The 27,808-nt window shown below is 39.3% G+C and overlaps 1 protein-coding gene and 1 long non-coding RNA gene across 4 annotated transcripts in view; one reads left to right on the top strand and one right to left on the bottom strand.

Annotated features, from left to right (window-relative positions):
- Positions 1–27,808, top strand: part of CLNK (cytokine dependent hematopoietic cell linker) — a 248,452-nt gene that overhangs the window by 191,816 nt on the left and 28,828 nt on the right. For all 3 annotated transcript variants that reach the window (XM_011513775.3, NM_052964.4, XM_017007684.2), the window contains exons 9-15: positions 751–776; positions 990–1,009; positions 2,427–2,537; positions 10,748–10,775; positions 14,937–14,955; positions 17,109–17,190; positions 22,200–22,240. In XM_011513775.3, the coding sequence (XP_011512077.1) occupies positions 751–776; positions 990–1,009; positions 2,427–2,537; positions 10,748–10,775; positions 14,937–14,955; positions 17,109–17,190; positions 22,200–22,240 (327 nt within the window). The remainder of the gene's footprint in view (positions 1–750; positions 777–989; positions 1,010–2,426; positions 2,538–10,747; positions 10,776–14,936; positions 14,956–17,108; positions 17,191–22,199; positions 22,241–27,808) is intronic.
- Positions 12,846–27,808, bottom strand: part of LOC105374482 (uncharacterized) — a 41,073-nt gene continuing 26,110 nt past the window's right edge. Inside the window, exon 3 of the long non-coding RNA XR_925387.4 lies at positions 12,846–12,901. This is a non-coding gene — a long non-coding RNA (uncharacterized LOC105374482). The remainder of the gene's footprint in view (positions 12,902–27,808) is intronic.

Here is a 27,808-nt window from a genome sequence, read left to right as displayed (position 1 = left end):
GGATCGCATTGTATTTGTCTTTTTTCCCCAGTGCCTGGTACTGTGTTTAGCTCAGAGTAGAAGCTCGATAATTACATTGAGTTGAATTATGGAAATAGAACTACCTAGAGTTCAGACAAATCTGTTCCAGGCTCTACTTGGGATTTTTCTAAGGTTAATTGTCCTTGAGAAATTATCCCACCTAGTTTGTCCTTAGTTTTTTTTTTCATCCATAAAATAAAGAAGTTGGATTCTGGGGGTCTTCAGAAATTATTCTATTTTGAAAAATCTGTGATGCTATTTTCCTCTGCTTGGAAATACCCCATGAAGGTGGTAGGCAGGAAATTGAATTGTATATATATATATATACACACACACACACACACACACACACATACACACACACACACACATATACACATGCACATTAAGCGTAAACAGGAATCCGTGGTTTCAAAGGGGTCTTAAGAGTCACACGATGTGCAATGAAATCTTCATTGTACCATTTACTCGCTGGGTGAGTGTAGGTGAGATATTTAACTTCCCCGTGTGTCAGTTTCTTCATTAACCGAACAAGGGTGAGGATTTAATAAGACCACGTAACTAAAGAGTTTAGCATTATTCTGGGTATCTCATATGATCTCAGCAAATATTAACTGACGTTATCACCAATATTATTACAAATAAAAATGATTTTCATGTAAGCGTGTATAAAATCAATGCTTGATGACATTTTCCATAAATTCACTGCTATTCCCTCTTATGTTTTAGGAGATGCATCCGTAAGAAAGAACAAGGTAAGAGAAATCAATAAAATGCATTTGTTATTCATTATTTACTTTAGAAGCCTAGAGATATAGATGATGCAAAAACTCAGATATCTCTAGAAAAATATGTCTTATAAGTCTGATCACAATTTGTAATTTCTATTTGTAAACCAAAAAACTGTTAGCCATTGGCCCTGCTCACAGAACAATAAACTTAATTTAGGTTTCTCTTTTCTTTTTCAGATTCCTTTACCACCTCCTCGGTAAAACACTTTAAAATAGCATTTTTTTTCGCTATACAATGAAATAATTTGTGCCAGCATCTGAAAAAGAGAAACACAAACATTTGACATTGAAAATCTAATATGATTTCAGAGTGAGAGACGGATGTGGAAAAAAAAAAAACTAATATGAGATGTTCAATGAACAAGATTAAACAAGCCTTCATTCATCTATTTAATCATTTATTCATTCATTCACAGTTATCTATTCAATATACCTTCACTCATTTCTCAATGAATGTATTCCTCCCGTTTTTTTCTGTTCCTCTCCTTTCTTTCAGTACAGAAATCTGCTGGATGGTATTGCTGCGTATACTTCTGGCAGGCTTAGATTCATATGAAAATGGGATATGCCCTCAGGGAACAATATATTAAGTATATATTCATGTGAGATATATATATATACATATATATATGACACATATATAAATATAAATACTATTACATTTATACATCTCTATGGAGAAAAGAGCAACAGACAGCTGCAGAGGCTCTGAGTGACTGGCCACTCTTGTTGCTCTATCTGGGACCTGTGAGCACCTCTGCCATAGTATGCATTACATTCTCTGGCAATCATTTCTTCATCTCTCTCTCTTCCCTGCTAGAGGGAAGCAGCTTGAACCAAAAACTGTATCTTTTTCCTCTCTATATCTCCAGCATCTACTAAAGTACCTGATAAACTTATGAATAAATGAGTGAATGGGTGAATAACATATGAGTGAGTGAGACATTCACTGACTTTCAAACATTTTTATATTTCTTATTGGGTTTTTTTTTTTTTGTTTTTTTTTTGAGACAGTCTGGCTCTGTCGCCCAGGCTGGAGTGAGGTGGTGCAATCTCAGCTCACTGCAACATTTGCCTCCTGGGCTCAAGTGATGCTTCTGCCTCAGCTTTGTGAGTAGCTGGGATTACAGGTGCATGCCACCATGACTGGCTAATTTTTGTATTTTTAGTAGAAACGGGGTTTACCATGTTGGCCAGGCTGGTCTTGAATTCCTGACCTCAGGTGATACGCCCACCTCAGCCTCCCAAAGTGCTGGGATTACAGGCGTGAGCCACCATGCCTGGCCACTTTTTTTATATTTATTTGGGTAGTTCTAAAAACTCAGGTCTGCCAGTCTGGGATGAATGGAAGGCTGTTATCATTTTCTCCACAGGCCTCCTAAAGCCAAAACAGGTGCACTATGGAGGAGCACATTGACTCCCCATAGAAAATTATGTCACGCCCTTTAGAAAACAGTGCCAGACCAGATCGGTCTGCTCCGCAGTTAGCATCCAAAAACTAGCATTTTCAACCCAAAGCTGGGGACACGGAGGGCAGAGCAGTGTGGATTCAGGGCCTGAGGCATCACTGCTGCAGCAAACTTTCTCAGGACCCTACTGCGACTCTCCACACAGGCCTCTCATAACACTTCCGAAGAAGTACCAACCCTTGCCCCCTGAGCCGGAGAGCAGCAGGCCACCTTTATCTCAGAGACACACCTTTCCAGAAGTCCAGAGAATGCCCAGGTGAGAGATTCATCATCAATGGTGAAATGACCAGCAAGAGTGTGGGTGTGGGGGAGGGGGACAAGGGAAACCAAACAAAGTACCTTTCAGAGCAGGCTCCCTAATGGGTGGGGAGTGTATTGGTCCATTCAAAGACATAACCAAGACTGGGTAATTTATAAAGAAAAGAGGTTTAATTGACCCACAGTTTCACATGGCTGGGGAAGCCTCACGAAACTTACAATCATGGTGGAGGGGGAAGCAAGCATGTCTTACATGGCAGCAGGTGAGAGAACCTGTGTCCAAAGCAAATGGCGAAGAGCCCTGTATAAAACCATCAGATCTCATGACAGTGCATGCAGTAACATGGGAACAGCATAGGGGAAACTGCTCCATGACCCAATCATCTCCCACCAGGCCTCTGCCTCAACACCTGGGGATTACAATTAAAGATGAGCTTTGGGTGGGGACACAAAAGCCTAACCAGTTATACCTAGAAGAAAATAATTCTAGAAACCTGTGTTTTGATTCTTTGCAGGAAATATAGCTTCTCTGTAACAAAATGAGTTATTATTGAAAGAATTGCTCACTTGTGGCCTGAATTAGTTAATAAAGAAAATGTCAAATGCCAGAACAGAATCAGCATATTTTATGTAAGAACTGAAAGGGGATTCAGATTATTCCAGGACCAATATTGGCCCCCAGCTTCCCATCACCCAGGCTGGAGAAATATAACCATGCTTGAAAACTCTTTTGTCAAAAACATTATTGCCTTTATGAAAAATAAATATTATAAAACCATCCCTCTGATATTAAGTACTGATGATGGCTCTTCATTCCCAAACGTGTGGGACATTTGGCAGCTGGTGCTAATCACAGAATGTGACAAACTCGAGTGAGCATATTTCATTTTCCCAAAAGAGTTTAAATTTCCAAAATTACCTTATTTTGAAAGTCAGAAAAGTGATCAGCATTTCCTCCTTGTTTCTGCATAGAATGAAGGATGCTCTCTTATTTTTCATCCTTCTTCAAGCTTGCATCAGCAGTTTGGGGCACAGGCATTATTTAGTGAGAAAGCATTTCTCATGGATACAAAAACTCAGGATAGGCTCATTTTGAGCTTCTATGGGAAACTCATTCATCACTGATTCTAATGGGGAACATTAAATAGCCTAAAATGTCATTCCTCCTTCTGTGGCGAATGTCTCTTCACCATTTCCTCCATTACAGCCCCACACAAGCATAAGTTTTCCAAGAAACACCTTCTTTGTTGTCTCTCCCATGGAATGCCCTCCTTTTCTGTCCCCCTTTCAACTGCCATGGCAGCATGGGAAGGAATAGAGGCTCTCAAGTCTCGATTCAAATGGTCTGTGTTTGTATTAGTTCTCACATTGCTATAAAGAAATATCTCAGACTGGGTAAGCTATAATGAAAAGAGGTTTGATTGGCTTACAATTCCATGGGCTGCACAGGAAGCATGATTCTGGCATCTGCTCGGCTTCTGGAGAGACCTCAGGAAACTTACAATCATGGCAGAAGGCAAAGGGGAAACAGTACCTATTTTTAACCAACAATTATTGCACTTTCTTACCAACCTATTTTTAACCAACACTATTTTTAACCAACCTATTTTTAACCAACACTTATTGCACTTTTATTACCTTGGGCCCTTCTCCATTGGTACCTATGTTGCCCCATAGAATATAACAAATTGACAAGTCTGTTTCTTCCAGCCCAGGAAGGGATGGAAGAGGAACTGACTCATTTCAGTACCCATATAACCTGGCACAGTACCTGAAATATAGTAGATGATGGATAAATATAAATTTCCTTCTGCAGCTTTCAAAGGAACCTAATCAGACTAGGAGTAAGCAGATTTGCTCTGTTTTGATTTCCATTTTCAAAGAGTGAGAAACTGGGAGGCAACAATAATAACAGACCATCCAACCCATGAAGCTGTGTTATCAGAGTTGGAAATGTAAAATGCAGCATTCCTAAAACTCCTGGCCAAATAGTCTAATACGTAAAGGACTGATCAAACCTCAGAGAAGTAAGAAGACAGAAAATAGGATTAATAAAATATTGAGACTAGGCATAATGGCTTACGCCTCTAATCCTAACACTTTGGGAGACCGAGGCAGGCGGCTCACATGTGGCAAGGAGTTCAAGACCAGCCTGGCCAACATGGTGAAACCCCATCTCTACAAAAATACAGAAACTAGCTGGGTGGGGTGGAGTATGTCTGTAATCCCAGCTACTCTGGAGACTGAGACATGAGAATCGCTTTAACCTAGGAGGCAAGGGTTGCAGTGAGCCAAGATTGCACCACTGCACTCCAGCGACAGAGGGCGACAGAGGGCAACAGAGAGAGACTGTCTCAAAAAAATAAATATATAAACTAAAATAAAATATTGAAGATGATGAGGTTGTTCAGTGTGGAGAAAAAAGCATTTTATCTTCTTTCTGTTTCCTCATGCTGGAAAGAACAGTATCTTGGGACCCAGTAGCAATGAGTTTGGATCCCAGGTGAGCCACTTTTGGCAGTATGACTTCAGAAAAGCTCTTTAACATCTCTGAGTTTTCTTTTCTTATTTATAAGAAGAAAATAACCATCTTCGTATGATAAAATGATGATGATAAGGTATGCCATTCCTGTAAAGTGCCTAGGATAATATCCGTCACAGCACAGGAAAAGAAGAAGAAAAGAAAAGAAAGAACAAACAAGAGAAGGAAGGAAGGAAGGAAGAGAGAGAGAAAGAAAGAAAGAAAAAGAAAGGAAGAAAGAAAGAAAGAAAGAAAGAAAGAAAGGAAGGAAGGAAGGAAGGAAGGAAGGAAGAAAGAAAGAAAGAAAGAAAGAAAGAAAGAAAGAAAGAAAGAGAAAGAAAGAAAGAAAGAGAGAGAGAAAGGGAGAAAGACAGGGAGGGAGGGATGAAGAGAGGAAGGAAACCAGCTTCTCCCATCTGTTCTCGGCAGAATTAGGTATCCAGAATCCATAACTCTGTATTTTTCTAGAAATAGAGGCTGTATATATTTTTTTGAGATGGAATCTCGCTCTATTGCCCAGGCTGGAGTGCAGTGATGTGATCTCAGCTCACTGCAACCTCTGCCTCCCGGGTTCAATTGATTCTCCTGACTCAACCTCCTGAGTAGCTGGGATTACAGCTGTGTGGCACCACACTCAGCTAATTTTTATATTTTTAGTAGAGATGAGGTTTTACCATGTTGGTCAGGCTGGTCTCGAACTCCTGACCTCAGGTGATCCACCCGCCTTGGCCTCCCAAAGTGCTGGGATTACAGACGTGAGCCACCGTGCCCAGCCAGAGGCTGTATTTTCTAATACAGTGGTTATCATCCTGGCTTTACACTAAAATAATTGGAAAGCTTATTTTAAAGCACTATCCCCAGTATCTATTTTAATTGCTCTGAAGTGAGACCTGGGCATCAGAATTTTTAAGGCTCCCCCAGGTGAAGCTAATATGCAGACAGGGCTAAGAACCCAGAGGGAACCAAGTTCGAGGAATACATCCACCACAAAAGCTTTGAAGGTATTTAAGCCTTATCTATGCCTGAGTTTCCAGAGTCTAACATAATGCTCACTCAATTGCCAAATGCGTCCCTCTGCGGGCACAAACCACACAGGTCTATTGGGTTACTGTCTTGGTGGTGTTGACATCTTTAGAAGTTGGCATTTGATATCTCTGGGGTTCCTGTAGTTACAGTTTACTTTTATTTAATCATTTTTAGATGTGATGAGAATTGTGCTGGATCTCTTCACCAAAACACCTCAAGAGAGTAATTATATTTTCTCTTATTGAATTTTTCCAGCAGCCCTGTAAAGTATGTTTCCTAAGCCTCAGAAGAGTAAAGTACCAAGCCCAGTGGATGGCACATGTGCCCAATAAATAGTACTTCCATACTCACTGGGCACCTAAGGTCACCACGCTTCAGAGAAGTTAGGTAACTTAAAGTCACAGGGTTGACATTTGACTATTGATGGGGCAAAAACCTGCACAGCCCCATAGGAGACACTGGGGATACCACGATAAATGACATGGCTTTGCCTCTGAAAGAGAGATGTGCTTTCAAATTCATTTTTAGCAGGGCCCACATGGGTGGTAATATCATCATTAGTGATGCCCAAGTCCCATGTAATCAACCACAGAAGGATATTGCTCTGAAAACAGAAGGAACATTGGCAATCAGAGCTTCTGCAGCCGAACCATGCAGGAGAGTGCCTGCTCCGTCTCTGCCAGCTGTTGGTAAGGCACTGTGAGTGAGATGAGTTGCCTTCCCTAAGGCAGAAGCCATGATTTACATCTGGCAATCAACTGTATCAATGGTAGGCAGTTAGACAGCTGCAGCCTTTTGCAGTGGGCTGTGCTCACCCTGGATGGTCTTTGTGGTTCCAGCTATTGTGTTTCAGGCCCCATTTGTCTCTGCCAGCTCTGCTATTCTCTTTTTTAAAGCTAAGCCTTGGTTTCACGAAACAATTACTGAATTGAAGCACTTCAGTAAAGGAAAACGTCACCCCAGTCATTCATTGACAACTCAAAACCAGAAGAGAACTTCGAAGTTTGGAGAATGTTGGTTGGACATTCTCAGCCACTTATGTACCATTATTATGATTTTTACAATATCCATGTACTTAATTATTTTTTCTGCTCTGCTCATTTTTTTCAACTTAAATAAATTTACTTAAAAGAAAGACATATAATTATTATAAATAACTTCAATACAGATAGCTTCAAAACAAAACTTTGAGCTCTGGGGAATTTTACCTCTGATAAAAGGGAAGGTAAGCAAATATTAGAACAGTGTTTCATATCTACTAACCACTGCACTGAGCCTTTCTCTTTGACATAATCTGAAAGACAATTAAAAAGGGAATAACTTTTCTACTACGAATCCATTGTAATTTTAATACCGTGGTCCATGCACCAAATAAAATCATCCTGAGTAACAGCAAGAGTAATCAACAACATTTTCTGAGTCGTAACTACACACCAGGCCCGGTTTGGGATCTTATATGTATTAATTCATTTAGTCACACAACAGCACTGTAAAAAAATTACTATCTCCAATTTACTGATAAAAATTAAGAAATCGAGGGTTCATTGTCCCATATGTCCTTTAAGCTTCAGTACACTCAATGGCCAAAGGTGCAGGGTTCAGCCAAAATATAATTTAAATGAAGCACCCAATATTTAAGAAACAAAACACCCACTTGCCTAACTATGGCTTTCCATTTTTTCTTTCTTTCTTTCTTTCTTTCTTTCTTTCTTTCTTTCTTTCTTTCTTTCTCTTTCTTTCTTTCTTTTTTTTAAGTAGAGACAGGGGTCTCTCTAACACTCCTGTCCAGGCTGGTCTCAAACTCCTGGCCTCAGGCAGTCCGCCCGCCTTATCCTCTCAAAGTGCTGGATTTACAGGTGTGAAGCAACACGGCCAGCCAGTTTTCTCTTTACAACCAGCAATGCTGGCATCACATCAATTCAAACAATCTCTGTCGCAAAAATGTATGCTCTGATGATTTGGGAAGTGAAAACAAAAAGTCTTTATAGATATCGAGAAACCGTGGTCTTTTAAAAGAGAAAGTATGGTTATAGAGATATACACATTTGTATTTATGAATGGAAAGTATTGATTTTAAAGTATAAACATCATTATTATTGTTTTCCAAGTTGTTGCTATTGGGGGAAACTGGGTATAGGGCACATAGGAACTGTCTGTATTATTTCTTACAACTGCATGGGAATCCATAATTCTATCTAAGGATAAAAAATCCATAATTTTATCTCAGGATAAAAAGTTTAATTTCAAAGCAAATGTGAACATTAAAATGTTCTGCAAATGTAGAGTGTTATTTCACTCCAAATAGCTTTCACGTCACATTCTTTCATTAGAATCTTCAGCAATTCTCTTCACTACTGTCTAGATTTATCAGTTTTACAGGTGGGAAAACTAAGCTTCAGAGAGAGAATTTAACTTATCCAGGGTGACAGAGCCCACAGATGACAGAGCAAGAATCAAATTCAATTCATTTAAAACTAAGCCAAAAACTAAGGCATTCCTGGAGAGACCTATATTTATAGTAAAAGGTAATATCTTTACATTTATAATGAGGACCTCTTATGCATAGGAAAAAATGTGAAAAAAATTAATGACCATGGTTTTTTTCGCCATCTTCAGCAGACAGAACTTGGACACACATGTGTTCAAAGCTCTCAAAGAGTAAGAAACTCTGGTCTACACAGAAATGCCTTCTTACAATCACTTGGGTTCTCAGTGAAAATTCCATTGATTAAAGCTGCAAATTCCAAACCCGAGCTTTCCTGAAGCCTCAGATTTCCATCTATAAAGTGCACTGCTCTATTTATAAATCAGGTGATTTTATCCAAACAGAAAGACAATCACTCTGCTTAGTCTTCAACAAATGTTCAACCAACTCAAGTCAAATAGGTTAAAGAATCTTAGTAAAACTGTTTAACAAACTCATTTAAATCTCCTTAAATATTTGAAATATATTTATAAATTTAATTTCTTTGATTTTTAAGTACTTCTAATGTTGACAGGGTAGGTTTAAATGCTAGCCAGCAAAACTTTAACAATTTCTGTAAATCCAAGAAAGTAAATGTATAAATATAGAAAATTTTAATTTATCTTAAACACTTCAAACTCTTTAAAATGGAGACAAACACATCTTGACACTTGTAACTTCAAATCTACATTTTAAATTGAAGCCCTACAGCCAATCTTTCAGTATCTTTAATACACTGGCTTCTTAAACATTAAATACTGAGATTAGCCACATTTTAACCCCAAAATAATTAATACTCTGGGTGTTTGTTCTACTTCATTACCTCTATTCAGATCTCTTTTGTCTTCTCAGGTTTCCAACTAAAAGCGGGAGGCAGGGGGTAAGATGTAAGAGGCTAAAACCGTGGAACCTTGGTACAGTTGCCTGTTGCTTGCAGATCCGACACTGGGATCTAGCATCTGAGTACTGTGTGTTTCTGGAATCCTGATATAGCCTGACTCCTAAAACTCTAGATCAATAGCCTTCAACTGTGATCAGTGTTGCACACTTAATACTCCCATATTCTTCAGATCCAGTGTTTTCACTGACAGAACTGGGGAAGTGGAACATATACCCTCACTCCACTCCCTTCATAGTTTCTTCACCAAACTTTGACCACATTCTGACAACGATGCACACTGAATGCCCAACATTGTTTTTTGTTTGTTTGTTTGTTTGTTTTGAAATGGAGTCACGCTCTGTCACCCAGGCTGGAGTGCAGTGGATGATCTCAGCTCACAGCAATCTCTCCACCTCCTGGGCTCAAGCTACTCTCCTGCCTCAGCCTCCCGAGTAGCTGGGACTACAGGCATGTGTCATCACACCCGGCTAATCTTTGTATTTTTAGTAGAGACAGGGTTTCACCATGTTGGCCAGGCTGGTCTGGAACTCCTGAGCTCAAGTGATCAGCCTGCCTCAGCCTCCCAAAGTGCTGGGATCACAGGCATGAGCCACTGCACCAGGCCCCAACTTTGTTACTTTTTATTTCTAGCAATTCTCACATTAACACTCATGAGCACTCTTGTTGCCATTTTGCAGATGAAAAAAAGTGAGGTTTAGAGAAGTTAATTGACTTGCTGATAAAATGAAAAGCTTGAAGTTTAGTCAGAGACCTTTCCAAAATTCATATTATTCAATTCCATGTTGGATTTTTTCTCTACCATTCAATTTTATGTTTTTCTCCTGTCTCAGATCTTCGTTCTTTATCAGCATTCTCTCTTACACTTGCTTTCCTGAGACCCCACTGCACCTGACAGCTTCATATTGAAAACTCTTTATGTTCCCTCAAAGTGAAAAACTAAGAGCTTTAAAACCAAGTTAATAATAGGTCTGACTGTGCCAATGAAACTTGACGTAGGAAATCAAATGTCAGGAGAAATGATGATTTTTTAATTTCTCCCAAAATAAGATGCACGTTTATTCATGTCCTTTCTATCACCACCTTTTATTTTGGCTCTTAACTTTGTCTTTTCCTTAGAAAATTATGAGAAAAATAACCTGGCTTTAGTTTTATGGAAGAGTGATAAATATCTCACTGGACTATGGGCTGTTAATTTGGCAATGAAAATGTAATGAAAGGTTTGTAAGGCTCAGAATGATTTTATCTTGGTCATTATGAACTGTGTTTTATGTAACACCGTATTTCTTTTTCTTGCAGTCAGATAAGCTTAAGGGACTTAAGTGAGGTAAGTAGCAATTTTATCCTTGGAAGCAAAGAAGGGAATTTTGAGGCATTAAATGTCTGCAATAGGCAAGATTCTATTTGCTTCAGATACTTACACTTAGTTCTCACAATAGCTATGCTCAAAATGCATTAGTATCTCTATTTTAAAGATAAGAAAGCCAAAGTAAAACAAGCTTAGCTCCAGATTTTAAACCAAGATCCTGTTTGGCCACCATGGTCATTCAGGGTTCATTTGTTATAGGAAGAACGTGCCCAGTTCCACATGGAAGATATACAGTATCGACTGATGGCTTCCAGCCTTCAGCATTACAGAAATCAAGTGTTAGAAATGGTATTGCACTTTGCTATTTGTCCTTCATAAGAAATACAGGAATGCAAAGTAGAAGGAATATGAGATCCAAAGTTGCACAAGACCTGGGTAGGAATCCTGCCGTGCCACCTACTCGCTTTGTGAACTTCAGAAAATGCTCTTACTCATCCCAGTTTCTGTTTCCTCAGCCATAAAATAGGGATGGGGGCCAGGTGCAGTGGCTCACGCCTGTAATCCCAGCACTTTGGGAGGCCGAGGTGGGCGGATCACCTGAGGTCAGGGGTTCAAGATCAGCCTGACCAACATGAAGAAACCCCATCTCTACAAAAAATACAAAATTAGCCAGGTGTGGTGGCGCATGCCTGTAATCCCAGCCACGCTACTCGGGAGGCTGAGGAAGGAGAATCGCTTGAACCCAGGAGGCAGAGGTTACGGTGAGCCAAGATCATGCCATTGTACTCCAGCTTGGGCAACAAGAGCGAAGCTCCATCTCAAAATAAATAAATTAATTAAATAAATAAAAATAAAATAAAATAGGGATGGGTACATTTCTGTGCAAAGTTGATGTGATAAAGTCAAAAGTAAGTAGTGCACAAATGGCCAGGTGATCAGTGGAGGCTAAATAAATGGCATAAAAGTCATGTGAGATAAACCTATAGTAGAGCCTTCCAAGGGTATTGACTCCCTTCAGTGCCCAAAGACAAAGTTCCCTACGAGGATAGTGGGGTCACCATGACTGATGAAGACTGTCCAACAACACAAGTGGCCTCACCTCACTCCCACTGGACTCTAAGGAATTTTGTTCTTGTCTTTGTGTTTGACCTATGCTCTTATCTATATAGTAGACGTGAATGTCTTTCCTTGCTTTCTTTTTCATTTGTTGGTTTTATGAGAATGTTAAAATCAAAAAGTCACATTTCCAGCTTGTCACTCAAACGAGACATTTATTACCCCTAATCTCCCTAATCCATAAGACAATCGTGCCAAGAAAGATAACATAGATAACTGCTTGACGAGAAGAACAGTTCTGGTTCCACTGAGGACTTCACCAGGCTCATGCTCTTCTGGGAGGGGTTGCACTTCCTTAGTGTCACCTGGAAGGAGCAGGCTGGGGTGATGCTCAGCTGCTGGGGGAACCCACACATCCAAGGTGCCTGAATACAGGACTCCGTCCCCTGCTTCCTGTAAGCTAGGCCTGGGTATCTCGAGTAGTAGTTGGGTGCTGCTCACGATGACGATGACCGCAAATCATAACCCTTTGGTCAGTCTGAGAGGACAGTAGGCCCTCCAATCACAAACAGGCAAAAAAGAATTGGGAGATGGGGGGTCAGCCTTAGATGGCAGGAAATGTGCAGAACTGTTTGTTTTCTTTGCAACTTTAGTTGGCATTCTGCTAGAAGTTGATATCATCTAAAGAACAAGAAGGTCTAGTGCAAAAACACATTCTTGCTCCTTATCTTTTGCCAAGACGCTTCCCCATTGTTTGTTTAGGCTGAGATTCAAGACCATTTCTTCATAACAAAAGCCCATCAGGGCAAGCTGTGCTTGTGCCTGCGCTCAGTGCTTGCTTGAACACTGTCTTGTGGACTAGAATCTTTTATGTGCTACCTCCCTCTGCTCAAATTCATATGGCATTTTATAGTTTTCACAGAAAGGAAAGACTCATTGTCTCATTTTGTACTCACAAAGCCCTAAGAGAAAAATGAAACCCCGGAGAGGTGGCAAACTTGGCCAGAGTCCTCACACCCAGCAGGAGATAGGGCCAGTCCTGGAAATCCCGAAGTCTAGGTGTCTTCCCCACCGCCGTGTCTCTCTGCCTTAAAAAAAATACAGAATTAGCTCTGAACTAAAATAACTAAAAAGAATACGGAAGGAAGGAATGAAAGGAGGGGGCAGAGAAGGTGAAAGAAAGGGAGGAAGGAAAAGGGAAGGAGGGAGGAAAAAGGAAAAGAAAAAAGGAAGGAGAAAGAGGGAGAGAGGTAATAAAAGAGATACTACTATTTAACTTGACTATGTTTATTTTCTAACAATAAAAAAGTTACAGAAGAAAAATGAGCAATTTCATGCTACTTTTCTAACTACATTTGATTTTAAATTCAGAGCCCTCAAACCAAAAGTTGGTTGGTCTCAATTAAATAAAACAACTGCTCCCCCAGATAGAGGGCTTCTCTGCACTGTTCTCATCTCCTCTTCCTCTCCCCTTTGACAAGCCTGAGAGCAATCACTGCATCCGATTGAGCACTTTGAACAGCCAGGTTCAAAGTCCTGGGGGAGACTCAGTAGGGATACTTTCAAACCACCCACTAGAATGGATTCATTACTCTTTTTACTTAGCCTATAGATTTTCTTTGATTTTCTGTCCATAATGAAATGTATGTCCTCTTTCCAGAATCCTAGGGAATGCCAAAGTCTTTGAAACAAAAAGCCTTCTCTGTTGGCTAGCTTCAGAGGGAGGCATACAATGCCTCTCTAAGCAATTTGTTGCCAAAAGTTTCTTATCTATGAAGCAACTATGAGTCAGGAGAGCTGGGCTCAGGGTTAGTTTAGCCTTCAGATGACTGCAGGAATCTAGGAGAATGGCATGACCCTTTGGGACCTCATCTGTAAACCAACTGTTTTTAACATTTAATGGACCTCACACTACTTTGAAAATTTGATGAAAGGTATAATAAACCTTTATCTCCCCAGAAAAAGAAAAAATATATGCACATACTTATAGAGAAAAAAATTTAGCTTTTCATTGCAGAAGGTTCATGGACCCCATCAGGCCATTCAATGATCTCTTTCATCCCCCTGGTTAAAGCAGTTCTTATCTAAATGATACCTGAGGTCTTCTTCAACTGATGCAATATATAAATGGACTTCATAAAATTATTTGCAGTTAAATAAATACTACAGCAAACACTGTATCTACTGTAATGCTTTTTGCTTCTTCAAGGGTAGAGTAGAATAGGGCCCAAAGATACAAGCCCAATAAGCATGAACATTTCCATAATGAAGGATGATCAAGAATTCTACCACCATAAGGAAGAAAGAGAAAGAAAATGTTTGGGAAGATAAATGGCTACATTTAAAAAGGATAATGTGAATATTTCCATGCTTATTTTTAAAAATAGAAATTTCAGAGCAAGTATAAAGAAAAAATTAACCGTAGCCTTATTGCTTAAGTACAACCTTTAATAGTTTATCATATCACTTCAAATCATTTTTTCTGCATACACACAAATATACATGGATATAAAATATAATTGCATAAAAATATATCATGGGTCCAGTTTTTATTCCAAACTTTTAATGTAACATGGGTGCCTACTTACAGTATAATCTTATTTCATTCTCTACATAAATACTTACAATGTCTTTATAATATTCCAATAAGTGAGTATAGCACCAAAATTAATTTTCAGTTATCTGGGCACATAGATTGTTTCCAGTGATTTAACTCTGTAAAAGTAATGATGCAATGAACATCTTTGTGCATAGAACTTGGCTCAGATTTCAGGTTGTATCTTAGAAAAGGAGTCTCATCAATGGAATTATTGAGATAAGAATAAGAGTATTTCTAAGGTTTTTGATAATTATGGTAAATTCCTTTCTAAAAGCGTAAAAGCAATTGATAGTCCCATCAGCCGACTGTGGACTTGTCTGTTCCTTCGCACATTGATTACAAAATTTTGATTTTTGTTTAGTTTTATGAAGAATTATTTGTAGATTTTTTTAAAACTACGAACTATGCTAACAAAAGTTTTACCAAAAGTCTGCCAACCAAATGCTCTAAAAACACACATGGTGTTATATTAAATTCTCTGTCATCAAGAGTCAGTAAATTTTATTTTTTTTAATTCAATACAGGTCCTTGAAGCAGAAAAAGGTGAATTGTTTACATTTGTTTTCTTACCCTAATACTAATAGACTAGGTTCTCTTTCTAGATCTACAGTGCTCATGGTTATTAAAAAGGATTGATTGTTTGGAAGCCTGGGATGGGGATGTATGTGTGTGAACGATGACGTGATCCTGATGCACACACATACATCCCCAGGACCTCAGAGTCCTCTAGTCTAAACAGGGTGATTTAAATCCAGGATAGGCCAGATGTCTTTCTTTAGCCATATGCTACTGTCCAAAAGGCATTACACTGTCACCCTCTGCCACTTTGGAAAGACATAACTAGTCCCCTGCTCCAAAAAAGCTCTTGGGATCTCTGCCTCTGATGTCACCCATGCACACACACGTGGCTCTTTCATGCACACACACACATACATGTACACACGTGCCCATACCTCTAAAGTGTTGGTGTCATTATGCAAGCATGCAATCCAACAGTCACTCATATCCTAAATGGCAGGATGCTAAGCAGGTAGTACTTTCATATTCACCTGTGAAATACTGTTCTCCATTCTTCTAGAATGATGAATTATGTCCAGAGCCAAAGGGCCTGCATCACAGCCCAAAGAGTTCACAAAAGACAGCATCGTTCAACAGAGCAACATTAGGTTAGGATTTCAGAGGCCTGCCACCAAATCACTGAGTGGTTTTGGTCAAGTTGTATTTCATTTGTGAGGCTCAGGTCTGCTCTTCTCTGCATATTGACAAAGCTAAACTTGAAGTGAGGCCTAACTTGGGTTTATGGATTCCCCATGGGTCCCTGATGGAGGAGTAGGAGTTGTTGGCAGGCCTAAATAATTCAAAAACCTAACTGAAACCATGCCCTTTCCGACAATACAGCTCAACCTCCTAACTAAAATGTTCAGGTACTGTTTCATCAGGCAACACAACAATGATTATTAACACAACAATGTGGCATTGTTCAGCTCAAGAGGGGCAGATACTCTGGGTCGCTATTGATGACATGAAATGATTTTATGGGATGCATGATTCATGGACCAGTCACTGACTCACATTTCAAGTAATCACGGTCCTTCGATCAAAGGTATCCAGTTTGTGATGAACCTTGGGCAGAGTACAGAGCAACAAGCACAATTAAAACATGTTGGTGCCTGTATGCACCCTTAGCTTTATTACTTACGGTCACAGCTGGGAGAGTGTTTTATGAGATTTTATATCATAGTATTATGATGTGCCCTTGGCAATTCTGGATGGCTAGTTAAATCTATCTGTGATGAAAAGAAAATAAAAAGCAGGAACATAAATTGCATATGTAATTACTAAATAACTCCAGATTGTATGGTTGGCAGAACTTTTAAAAACTTGATGATCGAGGGGGGAAAAAATTGAGAAACTGTATCCCTGGTCGGAACCTAGCTAGGGACTGCTGGTCTACGTGAGAACCCTAGGAGCTCACCTGCCCTGTCACAAGAGGGCGTGAGAATACAAGCGCCATGACGAGCTGTGCACCCCAATCTCCTCCATCTGCCAGAACAGTCCTTTTGTTTAACTTTCTTCTTCTTAAGATCTCAGCTCAAATGCCATCTCTCAGAAAGGTCTTTTTTAGCCATACGTATAGTCACTCTGTATCCCAAAGTAGTACTTTATTTCCTTTATATCATCGGTACTGCCTAATAGAAATGTTCTTATCGACTTACTTGCATGCTTATTTTCTGTTTCCTTTCATTAGAATGTACGAACCATGTCTGTCTTTTTCTCCACTGTATTCCCAGACTCTGGCAGAGTACTTGTCCCATAGTAGCTATTCAGTAAATGTTTGTCGAATGATATAAATGAATGAATGAATGAGGAGGAAGCTAAAAATCTTTTAAAATCACGGGTCCAGAATAATCCCTAAATACCTTCCAATGTAATATTCTGTATTTTTGGGAGGTTCAATGATGTGTTCTAGCTTGTAAATATTAAAAGTGATTTTTATAACCTCAGAGCAAAAGTCATTCTGAGGAGCCAGAAGAGCCGTAGAATACATGAGTTATAGTTTCCACCGACCATCAAGAGCCCCCTTCTAATAATCAGAGATTACTTGGAGGAAATTATAGTAGTTCCAGTGGGCTTCTAATGGTTCTCAATTATTTTTCTTTTGCAACCTGACCAAATTATGTCACTGTTTTATATAGTTCCTCATAACCAGAGGAAGCCTGAATCAACTCATCTGTTAGAAAACCAAAATACTCAAGAGATTCCACTTGCCATTAGCAGGTAAGGAGCCAGGAATCCTTTCTCAGGTCTGAGGCTGAGGGGTCAGGCCATGTGCTGTCTCAGATAAATGATCACAAAGACTTTCTGAGAAACGAAAGTCTTTGTTTCTGAAGCCCAATAATGAGGCTCAAGAGAAACTTGTGAATCACAGCTGTTATTGATGTTAATAATGTTGTTCTTTTGGAAATTTATAAATGATTGATTGAGTGTTAAAGAAGTTTGGGAAATTTTAAGGATTAAATATTAACCAGATAGGATTAACGGGAAAAGATGCTAATCAACCTGGGAGGAAAAGTTTGTTGTTTCAAACTATTCAGGGTTGATGACCACACCAAAGCTTTAGTTACTTCTGAACAGCAATTTATGGCTAGAAGACCAAGTGTTGTTGAAAATGCCATCATCAGATTAGATACCTGCCTGCTCCGCTTATTGTGACAACTGTCAATCCAACTGAAGAGTTAAAGAAGCCAAGGCTTGGCCGGGCGCGGTGGCTCACGCCTGTAATCCCAGCACTTTGGGAGGCCGAGGCAGGTGGATCATGAGGTCAGGAGATCGAGACCATCCTGGCCAAAACAGTGAAACCCCGTCTCTACTAAAAATACAAAAAAATTAGCCGAGTGTGGTGGCGGGTGCCTGTAGTCCCAGCTACTCGGGAGGCTGAGGCAGGAGAATGGCGTGAACCCGGGAGGCAGAGCTAGCAGTGAGCCAAGATGGCGCCACTGCACTCCAGCCTGGGCGACAGAGTGACACTCTATAAAGAAAAGAAGCCAAGGCTCAGTCAGGATATTTATTGACCAAAGTCACTAAATTAGTAGTGACTGCCCTAAAACAAAATCCAGGGCCTCCAGTATTAGTGCTGTAAGGCCCTCATGATCTCACTCCGGCCAGTGGCTCTGACCTCAGTTCAAGCCACTTTCCTCTCACTCTCGGCACTGCAGCCTCGTCAGATGCCTGCCAGCAACCACAATGCCACTTAATGCATGGCACTGGCACACACCACTCTCCTGCCTGTAGCCCCTCCCCCCGTATTTGCTCCTCTCCACCCTCTCCCTATTGGAACACTCCTATTCCTCCATGGAACCCCAGCTTAAAGCTTAATGAATCCAGGAGATAATTTGCCTCCATTCTTCAGATGAAAAACATGAAGCTGGGAAAGACCGAGCCCTTTACCACTGAAGCCAAGCCCAACCTCAAAGCCCAAGCACTGTTCAGTAGCCAGTGTTGCCCATAAGGACTTGAGTCTAAAAATGCAGCCCATAAATCCTGACTATCCCTGGTGCCTGCTAAAAAGCTCCCTTTAATTGATTCAATAATTATTTACTGGGAATGTACTATGTTTGTGGTGGAACAGAATAGTGGTTAAGCAGGATCCACTGAAGCCAGGCTGCCTGACTTTTTCAGCAGTGAACCATGTGACTTGGGCGACCTCACTGTATTACATGAGAAACTTAGGGCAGAGTCAGGCATGTTGCAAGAGCCCAACGAACATTCACTCTCATTGCTATTGCCAGGCCCTGTATATCGGGGCATGATCACCATACCCTATGCCTTTCTGCTCCTTTACTTTCTTCTCTGGTCCCATTTGGCACCTTCAGTAATTTTATTCTCATTTCTTGGCCTGTGGGTACTAGGACATGTAGCTTCATTGTGCTTTGGGGACTGTCTGGTGTTTAAGTCCCAAACAGCTTAAATACAAAACTCTTCCCCATACCACAATATCATCCTCCTCCTCCTCCTCCTCCTCCTCCTCCTCTTCTCTTTTCTTTCTTTCTTTCTTTTGTTTTTTCTTCCTTCCTTCCTTTCTTCCTTTCTTTCTTTCTTTTTCTTTGAGACAGGGTTTTATTCTGTCTTGTAGTGGCACAATCACATCTCAATGCAGCCTTGACCTCCCGGGCTCAAGTGATCCTCCCACATCATCCCCCAGAGTAGCTGGAACTATAGGCACATGCCACCATGCCCAGCTAATTTTTGTACTCTTTGTAGAGAAGGGGTCTCACCATGTTGCCCAGGCTAGTCTCGAACTCCTGGGCTCAAGTGATTCACCCACCTTGGCCCCCAAATGTGCTGGGATTACAGGCATGAGCCACCATGCCTGGCCCCCTTTCTTAATGTAATTTTCTAAAAGTAAAAAATGTACACATTATATTATAGTGAAAAAATAACAAGCTCTCCAGTTGGCCTCATTTCTGTAATAGTTATTTGATGTGGTTTCACTTCTTTTGTTTATTTGTTTGTTTGTTTCATTTATTACATAAAGACCCTTGATTTTTCTCCCTCTCTTAACTGGCTGCTGCTTCTTCTAATTCCTCATCTTGGACTTTTTCCCAAACTGACCTCCAAATGTTGGTATTCGTCAGAGTTCATCCAAGGTCTCTTTACTATCTCTAAGGCCTGCGTAATCACATCCATCCCCAGCATCAAACTTCAACCCCATGTTGATAATTCCCAAATCCCTATCTTCTGCAAATCACCTCTCTCAGCTCCAGACCTGTGTATCTAATGACCCAGTGAGCAGTTTTCCTTAGCTCAGTCCCAGGCAGCACAGACTCACAATGGTGGAAATCGAACTCTTCATTTCTAGTCCCATTCTGAAACCCATAATATCCTCTGCAAAGCTTTTCATCCCGGTAAACTCAGTAAGCTCTCTTTCCCATCGTCACTCTTCCTATCCCACCCATTTTCAGTTCCCAAAATTATATCTCTAAAACATGTGTTGAATGTGTCTATTTCTCCCCCATTTGACTAGCTCCTTGCATGGCCCAGCCACTATCAACTTTTACCTGGACTATTGCACTAGCCTTCTAATAATATTGATCATCTCCACACCCTCCCTTTCCTCTAGAAGGAACTGCTTTCTGGTCTCTTGCAGAAAAGGCCATGGCTCCTTGCCTCTGGGCCTTTGCACATGCTGCTCTACCTGCCTGGAATACACCCTTACTCCTATTCATGCTTCAGGGGTCAGCTCGGTTCATCTTTCTCCCACAGAGCCTTTCCTGAGAACGAAAGCAATTTTGTTTCATTTACATGACCTTTTACTACTACAGAAACTTATGCTGTGCACACCTTTACCATAACATTTATTCTACATTATAATTATGATACAAGGATGTGTTTCTTTTATAAACTAAGCTTCATTCAGGCAGAGGCCATGTCTTCTTTATTGTCTATTCCCCAGAACATACCATGTGCCTAGTAAGTGTTCAACACGTTTGTTAAACAAAAGAGTCATCATTTTTATTTTCTTTCTTTCTTTTTTTTTTTTTTTTTTGAGAGAGTTTCACTCTTGTTGCCCAGGCTGGGGTGCAGTGGTACGATCTCGGCTCACTGCAACCTCCACCTCCTGGGTTTAAGCAATTCTCCCGCCTCAGCCTCCCAAGTAGCTGGGACTACAGGCAGATGCCACCACGCCCAGCTGATTTTTGTATTTTTAGTAGAGACAGGGTTTCACCATGTTATCAAGGCTGGTCTTGAACTCCTGACCTCAGGTGATCTGCTCACCTCGGCCTCCCAAAGTGTTGGGATTACAGGTGTAAGCCACCGTGCCAGGCCTTTAATTTTCCTTTTTCTTTTTTTTTTTTTTTTTGAGACAGAGTCTCACTCTGTTGCCCAGGCTGGAGTGCCATGGCGCGATCTCGGCTCACTGCAACCTCCGCCTCCCAGGTTCACACCATTCTCCTGCCTCAGCCTCCCTAGTGGCTGGGACTACAGGTGCCCACCACCATGCCCGGCTAATTTTTTATATTTTTAGTAGAGACGGGATTTCACCGTGTTAGCCAGGATGGTCTCGATCTCCTGACCTTGTGATCCGCCTGCCTCAGCCTCCCAAAGTTCTGGGATTACACGCGTGAGCCAACACGCCCAGACTTAATTTTCATTTTCATTATTTTGTTTTTATTTTTTCCCCTTATATTCATATCAACTATGTACTTCTAGAATATCCTCAAGAGGATATTTCTATTCTTTTCAACATTTTCTAAAAATCCTATACTATTAGCGCAGAGAAATTTTGCTATTCCCTATTTTTTCCCAGACATTTAACAGAATTGTACACTGGCTGCTAGTAAAAGGATTCTGGTTTTAACGGAGTCAAATCTTGAATTTCAGTAGCAGTCTGACTGGCGGTGACAGCATAGTATGGTGGCTGGATGAACTGCTTGCGTTTTTATCCACAAAGCAAGACATATGACCTCAGGCTTTTATGGTGACAACATAAACCAGATATATGCTCAGGTGATTTCATTGGCACTAGAAATGGATCAGGTTTCATTTAATTAACCCAGAGGCTTTAGTCAATAGCACAGTCCTTGGAATAGAGCATCACTCATGTAATTAGATTTAACTGTGGTAGCACCTGGAGCTTATGTTGATGATACTGACCACAATACAAAATGAACCAGAAAATTAGAGCTAAGTATTAAGTAGAGTGCTAAGAAAAGCCACTGATGAACAGTCTTGATAATATCATTTTTGTATTTAGAAATGCATATTGTTATTTTGTTTGTCTTATAGTTTTATAATCTCTTTTTCTTTGGGGTTTTTCTTATCATAATCCACTAAGTTTTCTTACTCAGCACAAATTTCTAGAAGGAATACAATAATTTCTATATTCTTCTTCCACTTTATGGTTGACTTTCAATTGGTAAATAGTTTCTATAGATTATGAGCCCCCACCAGCAAAATGTTCTTTTCCATAGTGACTGTAGCTACAAAGCAAGTTTAAACTCATGGCTTCAAAAAGTAAAGAATAATGATACGTGCTCACTGAAAAGACATGAGAAGAACTTATATGGTCAGTTTGTTCCACGTCTAATATAGCCAGCTTGAGAAAGGAGGATAACATGCCTCCTAGTGCTTTTCAAAACAAATGATTCTTCTAGCATATCCAGTAAAATATAAAGTGCTTTATAACTGTGACTTCAGGCTATTATCATTGACCTTGCCTCTGAGTGGAATTTTACCACCAAGGGGAAATACTAACATTCTTTGAATTTTAACATATTTTCTTATAGTTCTTCATTCACGACAAGCAACCACAGTGTGCAAAACAGAGGTAAGAGCACTTTCAGAATTATAAAATAAACAGGTAAGTCACGATACTGTGATATTGTGGCACTGTGACTTAGCTGTTGTGAACCCCAGAGCCACTGAGCTGATGTGTACAGATGTAATTAGCTCATTTCCATTGCGTTACTATGACAATAATTTTATTCCATGATTAAATATGATCACTTAGGTGGTTTCTAGTTTTTCCTCTTGTGAATATTATTATGCTATCAACACTAGTATAGATGTTGTCCCATGTATAAAATGTGATCATTTCCCTTCATAAGACTGAAATTGCTCTGTCTTAGGATATGCACATCTCTTCAACTGCCCTAGATGTGTTTTCCGAAGTAGACATTAATTAGTCTCACCAACAGTGTGTGAGTCCCCATTGTTCCCCATCCTCTCCAACAGTTGTTTTTGACAAACTTTTAATTTTTCCCAATCCATTGGGTGCAAAACAAATTTGTCTCAAGAAAAAAATCTGTGAAATGAAGAAAATAAAACTGACACCTCTTAGTAACTGTTTGTAAAGTAAAAATCAGAAGGATATCACATCTGCGGCGATGTCTGAAGTGGCATATAAATACAGAGTTCTATGACTGTTAGTGGTGGGTGTTGATACTATTAGTTATTCTGTGCAAACTAGAGCCATCATATTCATTTGTCTTTCCTTTTTTCACTCTGTGTGCCATGAAGATTCTGTGTTGACATCTAGCACTGGAATCTCTCTTTGTTGAGCCAAAAAAAAAAAAGGGGGCTTAAGCCTGGAGGAAGCAAAGCCCACAGGGTATTGTGGAGAGGATGAGGTTCTCCACTGATCCTGCTCCTAATTCTATCTCTCTCTTTATAGTAAGATCACTTGGAACAAATTAATTCTTTGAGCTTTACCTTTCCCTTTTCATAAAATTCAAGTAGTAATGTTAACTGACATATTCATATTAATATAATATTTGCACACACACACACACACACAGCCCTCTGCCTGCCATGTAGTAGGCAACTGATACATTTTAATGTCCTTTTTTGCTTTTCTGCATTCTCTTTTCTTCTTCCCACCCAAATGGCCTCAGTAGGCCTATGGGTTGTCTCGCTGGCTTCCATCATGACTTCAAGTCACTTCTGCCATATGCCATCTGGGCCTGAGGCTGGAAAACCAAGCTGATAAATTCGCTTCCCCTCACATACACATTGCTAATGCGTTTCCCAACAGAAGATTCCTTTATTTAAAAGGTGCCCAAAGAGGGCTAAAATAAACCCAACGAAATCAATCCCTAGTCATCAAATGTCAGGAATGGGAGTCCTAAAGGTCAGATCTGGGTGGATGAAGATGAAAGACTTGGAGCATCCAGGAGGAAAGTCCAGGGGCTGACTGGGCCCAGAAGAGGTCTTACTTATGGAGGTTTTGTTGCAGGGATGGGGAAGCAGAATCATAGCTTAGAGAGAAATCCAGAATCTTAACTTGAAATATAAAATCATGCACAAATAAAAAATAAAGAGCAACTGAAGAATGGAATGGAGTGATGGAAATGGCCTTCACAGATATGAGTCCAGTCAAGCACCCCAGGGCTGTAAGTAGATCATCTGTACTGGGGTTGCTTAGGTTCCTCTCAGCTCATCTCACTTCATCTCAGAGGAAACAAGGTTGCTGAAAGAAGCCTGGGATGGATGGGGAAATGTTTGAGGCTTCATTAGTTCCTGTTTTCGTAAACAAACACCCACAAGAACATGGTTTGTACCAAAAATTGGGCTGGGCCCCAAGAATGCAGAGTGAAGACCACCCCACCTTCTCTTAACCAGTGCTTAAGCACCCCTGCAATGTTCCTCCATCAGCTACTGAACCGATACTCATTCTACTGGGTATGAATTCATGCCTGGATCACCAGTACTTGGTGATGTTAAGTAGGCAGAAAACAACACGCAGTCTCTACACTCCTAGAATTATAAGTCTGATGAGCTCTCTAATGCATCAGGTATGGGCATTCATGCAGCAGAGTGAAATTTACACCTCCATAGTTGTACGTTATTATACTTATTTGACAAATGAGAAAATAATTTTGGGGAAGTTCAGTTATTCTTGTTCAGTGACTGCCTGATAAACAGATTTGGCTCAATTCTTTGATAAATGCATTCAAGTTAAACTATTAGGATCCCAAGCAAGTGGATCTCAGGAGAGAAAAAAATATTTTGACATGTTGGAAGAGGCCCCAGTTTTGGTTATATTCCAAAGTAGTAACAACGTTATTCTCTAAGTCTGGGATTGTAGATCATCTGTTTTCATTTTTAGTGTTTGTTCACCAATGCTTTCTTTTTGCTTTAAAATAGATGGCTCTTTTTCCTATAAAATTATGTTTTAAATTGTGTATAAGGGTAAATTAAATTTTTCTAATAAATATTTATTGACTACCTGCTTAAAATAAAATGCTTTATTTTAAGTTACAACAGGGAGGTCTAGAACTGTGTTTCTCTAGCAATATTAGCAACACTCAACAGCTAGTCTTGATGGAGTGGTTATATGATCAGACACTGTGCTAAGAGCTTAATCTATAATGCATAAGAATTTTAAATATTAGTAATTATTGATATCAGTTTGGTTTTTCAACCCATGCCTTTTCTATTAGGCTACTCTCCCTCAAATTTATTGTGCACCTCCACTATGCTAGTCCCAATGTTCCTCTCCTTGTCTTGTGGCTTCATTTCCTTGACCCTCCATTCTCCATGTTAGGAGAGTCCTATTTCATGGGGTTATAAAACTTGAATGTAATGTTTTCTTTCAGAAAAAAAAAAAAATTCCAAAGATTAACTGCTTTGATTATTTTAAAACAAAATCAACTAAATACTTATAGTGAGTTACATAGTCAGAATTTCTTTCATTCATTCATTCAACAAAGATACAACCAGGCTTTCAGGGAAAATTTACTTGGCAAACTTGTTCTTCTTGTTTCTTTGCTCTGTTTTGTTTTAAGTCATTCTCTGAACAAACTACAAATGCATAGCTGTTTCCAAATGCTCTTTTTCAAGGAGGACTTTTAAAATATCCAAGCAAGGCACTGAAGGTTAAAAAAGAATAAATCAGTTGCCACAATATCATGAAAAATTCATAATCACTGAACATTATTATGTATGCAACACCATCTAAGTGATAGGAAATACCGAAAATGGTTATTTTCCCTTCTTGAGTATGTTCCTACTTCTTCAATCGACGTTGAAAGTTAATTATGGCCATTTAAATAAGTCTCAAGTCAATTTTATTGTGTATTAGTACAGCTCTGTTTGCTTTCGCTTGGTTAGGATCTTCCTGGTATACAGGTCTCCATCCTTTTACTCTCTCTGTCATTATATGTTAGAAGTGCAATCAGTACATAACTGGAATTTTTAAATCAATCTGTAACTGATTTTAAAAGGTAAGTTTGCACCTTTGATATTTATCTTGATTACTGATATTTTGGGGTCTGTTTTTATATTATGTTGTGCCTCCTATTTGTCCTACTTTGTATTGACTTTTTTTTTGTCCTGCTGTATACTGGATTCATCTCTCCTTTATTTTCCTTTCTTTCTTTTTCTTGGAAGTTGTACATTCCAGTATCAGTCTTCTTTTGATTATCCTAAATATTTTTAATAATGGCATGCTAAAATTTTAACTATCTGAAATTCATATTTTCTTTTCAAACAATACAAAAAACTTAGAATGCTTTATTTCTGAAGGTGCAGATTCTTCATTGTGTTTGAAAGTTAAACTTTTATTTATAAAATAACATTTTAAAACTAGGAATGGCTCTAGTTTTATTCCTATTTTTGAAGATATAAATTGATGGCTGAAAATAACTAACCATAATTAAGGTAATTTAAACTGTAAGTGATCAAACAGTTTTCTGCAACAAATATTTTGATACAAATAAGCCCTCACAACAAACATCCTTAGGCTCAACATTAAAAGCTACAATCCTGGCCAGGCGTGGTGGCTCACGCCTATAATCCCAGCACTTTGGGAGGCCGAGGTGGGCGGATCGCCTGAGATCAGAAGTTCAAGACCAGACTGGCTAGCATTGCAAAACCCTGACTCTACTAAACACAAAAATTAGCTGGGCATGGTGGCGGGCGCCTGTAATTCCAGCTACTCGGGAGGCTGAGGCAGGAGAGTTGCTTGAACCCAGGAGGCAGACGTTGCAGTGAGCCAAGATTGTGCCATTGCACTCCAGCCTGGGCAACAAAAGCAAAACTCCATCTCAGAAAAAAAAAAAAAAAAGCTACAATCCTTGGTCTCATTAGAATAAAATTGCCAGTGTATCAGAAGTAGTGTTCTTCTTAGTAAACTTAGAGATAAATTTGGCTTTTTGATTAGCGCCTATATAATCTAAATGTTATGGAAAATGGCATGTATTTGCTAATGTTTAATTAATATTTCATCTCAAAAATTTAGTGGATCAAAAGCAACCCATCCTTTCAAAGTTCTTGTTAAGTTACTAACCATAACTGTAACTTTGGTTATGTTTTTTAGAATTAATTACAACTAAAAAGCTTATAATTCTGTATTCACACTGATTACCTCTTTTCCATTTCATGTTATTTTTGCCTAGTATTTTACTTACATAATGTTTATATATCCTAAAGATTTTATGTTTTTAAAATAGTTACTCCTTGCTTAAAATTACCAAAACATTCACAGATGTTTTGCTTGGTATTCCTCCTTATACTTCACTCCATGTTTGTGTTCTAAATTTCAAAAAAAAAAATTTTTATTATTATTGACTGGAAAGACATGCAATGATAATATGTTATTTTGATTGAGGTATATAGAGAAAATACCACATTAACATTTGACAAGTGGTAGCATCTTAAAGCTTAGGTGTCATGTGAAATCAAAGCCCTATCAATGAACTTTTTATATTCTGCTACTGTAAAATCCCTTGGTCTGTCTTGTACTTGAATTTACCTTTTATCCAGGCAGGACTGTGCAGCATCATGCATTGATCACTTGGAAAATAATAGATAATAGACATAAACAGGTCTGCCACTGTTGATATATGCTATTATGTAATATCTTTTTAAAATCACATTTGCACCACCCACCACAGTAGAAAAGTGTAAATGTTGGGTTTCTGTTATGTTACAGTGGCAGATACAAGATTCCTCAAATTCCAGTTTGCACTTGCAAAGTCTGATTTTGTGATCAGTAACAGATACTGCCGCTTGTTTTCCATGAGGTGTCAGGCTCACTTTGTTCATTTTTAGTAACATATCTGTCAAATATCCAAGTCGGAATAACAGTAGTTTGTCAGTCATTCTTTGGGTTAAAAAAGATGATGTTTCATTTTTTGAAGTTATTCTTTCAAGTTGAAAAAAAAAAAATGGTGTTTCCAAAGTAGAGAATGAACTTGTCATGTTTAAGAAAAGGAACAGAGTTCATTACACACAGAACAGAGTAGACAATTGGGAGAGAAATCAGGATGAGGATGGAGAAATATGAGTAGACAGTCCATTCAGAGCCTTATGGACAGAAGGAAATCATTTACATTTTTTTCTAGGTGGAAAGGAAATCATATCAGAATTCTTTTTTTTTGAGATGGAGTCTTGC

The sequence above is a fragment of the Homo sapiens genome, chromosome 4, assembly GCF_000001405.40.
Source record: "Homo sapiens chromosome 4, GRCh38.p14 Primary Assembly".
NCBI lineage: Eukaryota > Metazoa > Chordata > Mammalia > Primates > Hominidae > Homo > Homo sapiens.
The sequence above is the reverse complement of the archived record's forward strand: the minus strand, read 5'-3'. Positions and strand labels throughout refer to the sequence as shown.